At 48.5% G+C, this 4,123-nt stretch overlaps 1 annotated feature.

The window, feature by feature from the left end:
• Nucleotides 989-2,188: an enhancer, noted in NCBI's record as "CDK7 strongly-dependent group 2 enhancer chr10:2964441-2965640 (GRCh37/hg19 assembly coordinates)". NCBI's record gives its function as "activates an origin of replication core promoter dependent on BRD2, BRD4, P300/CBP, MED14 and CDK7 cofactors, with strong dependence on CDK7, by STARR-seq in HCT116 cells {active_cell/tissue: HCT116}" and the evidence as "EXISTENCE:reporter gene assay evidence [ECO:0000049][PMID:35650434]".

The following is a 4,123-nucleotide window of genomic DNA, read 5'->3' on the forward strand; positions in this document are numbered from 1 at the left end:
GAGAAAAGGCAACTTTGGGGGAAAGTTTTATCTTGCTTGAGAACAAGATCATCCAGTAGAGCTGTGGGACCCACTCTGGAATAAGAGCGATAGATTCAGCAAGGTGAGTGTCATCCAAAGATAGGTGGTCCATGGAGGATCTGGTCACACTTTGGAGAACTTGAACTTTATGGAGAAATTTGGGGGCTCTGAGTGGGAGACTGCAGGGAATGGGCAGGGCTGGCAGAGCCAGAGACAGAAGTTACACCTGTGATTCTAGGGCAGTGAGTGCCACCCCAAAGATGGGAAAAGATGATGTGATTTCCAAACATACTCTTAGGATATCTGAACTGGATCCTCATGCCCTCTGGCCTCTATACCATTTCTGTGAACCCAGCGTTGGGCTGCCTGTGGAGTAATGAAGTGGACAATGAGGGTGACAGCACTGTGACACCTTATCAGCCTTTATCTGTAGCAGCAGAAGAGCAGTTGTCAAGTCTACATGTCCGTATTGTCCCATGAAGCTTGAGTGTGTGTGTGTGTGTGTGTGTGTGTGTCCAAACTCCACAACACACCTGTAAAAACAGAACTCCCAGGTGGTATCTGGCCACCCATCTTCATAAATCCCCACGGACAATTCTGGCGCATGGCCAGGGTCAAAGAGCAATGCTACCTTGGAGCTACAGGAATGCACTCGGCGTGTGTGATGCCAGTGGTTTAAGTGGGTGGGAGCAGAGTGACATAAATGACTGGATGCTCAGGGGTGGTACAGGACAAGAAGGGGCACCCGCAGCCACACCTGGAGAACGAGGAGCAGGCGGCTGACACCAGCAGGTGGGCACGGCGTGCTCTGCTCCTGGAGTCGACCCCTCACCTGCCCTGTGGGTGAGCACCTGCTTGTGGGTCTCTCATTGGTGCTGTGGGTGACTCAGGACTGAATCACTGTCCAAGCAAGAAACGCTGAGTGTGGTCAGCCTTGCGCTGATGTTCGAGTCTTGCATTTCCTGAACAATCACAGAAGCAGCAACCATCTTCTCAGCAGCTGTTCATCTTACTTGTGGCATTATATTTAAGGGGCATTTTTTAAAGCTGGGAAAGTGAAAGGAGACACATTTTAGGTGAGAAGCAGTTTACCTGGCAATTACTGAAGAAAAACAGTTTAGAAGCCAAAGCCGGCGCTGACTTCTGACTGCCGGCTCTGCAAGCCCAGGCGCTGGCTCTTGAGTGTGTCCCAAGTACCCTCTTCCGGCAGGAATGGGCATCGCCCAAGGACGTTTCCAGGGCGGCCCTCTTCTGGGGGGGTTTCCACGTCGCTCCATCCCTCTGTGGTCTGAGTTCCAGGGCTGTGCTGGAACGCGAGGCGAGCCCGGGGCTGGCTGCCGGGTTAACAAGAGAACGCGGCAAAACAAAAAAACCATCTGTTCAGTTGTTCTAAATTAGGCAATTTTGCAAGAAAATTGAGCAAATTATCAGTTCGATACCGCAATCACCAAAAATAACTAAATTCTGTCTTCTCTTCTTCCTATGTCAAATCCTTTTAATTTATCAGAAAAAGGAAAGGAGACATTCACAACTTTTAATTACCGAGACTCTGCGGGTTTGCTTCCTCACTAAGGAGCGGTGAGGCATTGAAAGTCGAGAGGCAGGCCGGGCGCAGTGGCTCCCGTCTGTAATTCCGGCGCTTTGGGAAGCCGATGGGGGTGGATCGCGAGGTCAAGAGATGGAGACCATCTTGGCCAACATGGTAAAACCCAGTCTCTAACTAAAAATACAAAAATTACCCGGCATGGTGGCACGCACCTGTAATCCCAGCTACTCGGGAGGCTGAGGCAGGAGAATCCCTTGAACCTGGGAGGCGGAGCTTGCAGTGAGCTGAGATCACACCACTGCACTCCAGCCTGGGTGACAGAGTGAGACTCTGTCTCAAAAAAAAAAAAAAAAAAAAAAGCTGAGAGGCAGCGAGGGTCAAGACTGCAGCCCCTCAAGTGGCTTCCAAAACTCGGCAGTTTCTCAGATTCACCTTAGTCATCTCCACTCTTCGGGTGAGGACATAGCCACTCTGGGTTTCCCTTTCCCCTCACCCCAGATGACTCACACTTTCAGACCCGCAATGCCAGGTCTCCGTAAAGATTTTCTGCAAGGGGAGTGTGGCTCTCACTTTTCTCTTTGCACAGTTTAGAGACTCTGCCCCCTGAAGGAAACACCCTTGGCCATCAAATCTCACTTGTTCCTTTCACGCTGTTTAATCTTCAGACATCCCGAAGAATCAAATCTCATTGACTTAGTAACCCAGGATATGGCATGCACAAGGGTTCCCAGTTACACGGTTTGGGGAACTCCTTCGTGGGACCTTGATGTATTTGTGAAAGACGCCAGACCAACGCCTTTGTGGGCAAAGAACCGCGTGTACCCATGGTTGAGTACTGGACAATGCCAGTCAGTAGGCTAAGCCCTTCATAAGCATTGCTACACAGTATCCTCACCGCAGTGTGAACTGAATTCCACCCTTATCCCTGCCTCCCGGATGGACACGTGGAGGCTTCGAGTCGGGGGACATCTTTCCCAGGGCTGAGAAGGAAGGTCTGCCCTCTCTCCCCGAGGTCCTCTGTCTGTGGCCTGCCTCTTTAGTGTGTCTTCAGGACACAGTGCTACCAAAGGGAGGAGCCACATTTTGAACCCAGATTCGCGTGATTCAAAAGCTGCCCTCTGAGCCAGGGCATCAACCTGGGATTTGCTACCCATTCCAATGACCTATCAATCTCATGTTTTGCCCACAGTTCCTGCCAATGAAAAGTGGAAAACAGCAACCCATGAGGTCCTAGACTTTACTGGAAAAACCACAAACGTAAGGAAGCATGTGTCTCCAACATGTGTTAACCCAGAGAGTTCCTTAGTGGTGAAAAGTCGGTCACACAGATTGCTTGGGGGTTTTTGACGCTGAGGAAGCACTGCCGGATTGCTTGTGAGGTCGTTTGGCAGGTCTACCGTGTGAGCAGCTCACAGGCACCATTTTGTTGCAAGTGAAATTGAATTCCTAAGCATTCTAGCATAATCATCTTCTCCACGTCCCTCTTCCTTCAACTGTGGCATTCTGACTTCCAGCCTTGATTAAAAGTGGGGTTTTCAGAGGAAAGTCTTTAATTTTCCCGTGTGTTATTCTGTTCCTACCATAATTTGCACTGTCTATGTTTAAAGGGTTTTCTCATTGAACACGTGCAAGAAACAAAAGTGGTCGGTAGTCGTATTTGTACCAACTGTCAGAGCACAGCCGTCAATTATAAGCAGTTGTTGCGATGGATTTATTCCACCTAATACTCGTGCATGTGTGAGCGAGTGGCTGCAGTGATGGCCATTATCACACCACAGTTATTGTGCTGAGTGGCTGCAGTGATGGCCATTATCACACCACAGTGACTGTGCTGTGTGCAGCAGGCACACCCGTGTTTGGGGCGACACATGTTTCTGACCATCACTGATTAAAGTGTCCTTGGTATCTGACCTCAGTTTCACAGCTGAGACCCAGTTCCTATTCGTGCTTCCAGAAAATTGAAGACCAATTTTGGAGATTCTTGAGATTTCCTATCAGAAACTAATTGATGCCATTCTCCTTTCCAGATGGCAGCTTCTGATAGAGCTGGGCATTCGAGAAAATACAATTTAGGAGCATGGAGACTTTATAAGCAGAAAGAATCATGTGGAGACTGTCAGCTGAGATCATTGGGGACACTGTCCTGATGATCCCAAAGTACCTAAGAACGATGGGCTGATGTCTTCTTTTTGAATATTTTGTTCTGATGACTTTTGTATTTTTAAAGCTAAAAAAGTCAAAAATTATCCTTATCTTGCCAAGTTTCTGAGGCTCAGCGACAAGGCCACACAGAGGTAAAACTGGGCCTCCCAACTCCTGATCCTACTTTGTAGAAACACTGCAGAGCTCTACGCTGGGAGGACCTCTAGAGCCTAACAGAGCAATGTATAACCAGAAAGCTGCAGTCCAGAGAGGATAAGGACTGGCCACAATTATGCGAGAGGTTCTAATAATACTTAAAGTAAAAATCCAGTTCCCCAAATTCCAAACTGGTGTTCTTCTCTTCCATGGTATTAGCATGAAAACATTAGTTTTCAGTAGCAATATTCATGCCCA

Source organism: Homo sapiens, chromosome 10 (genome assembly GCF_000001405.40).
Source record: "Homo sapiens chromosome 10, GRCh38.p14 Primary Assembly".
In the NCBI taxonomy this organism is placed as follows: Eukaryota; Metazoa; Chordata; class Mammalia; order Primates; family Hominidae; genus Homo; species Homo sapiens.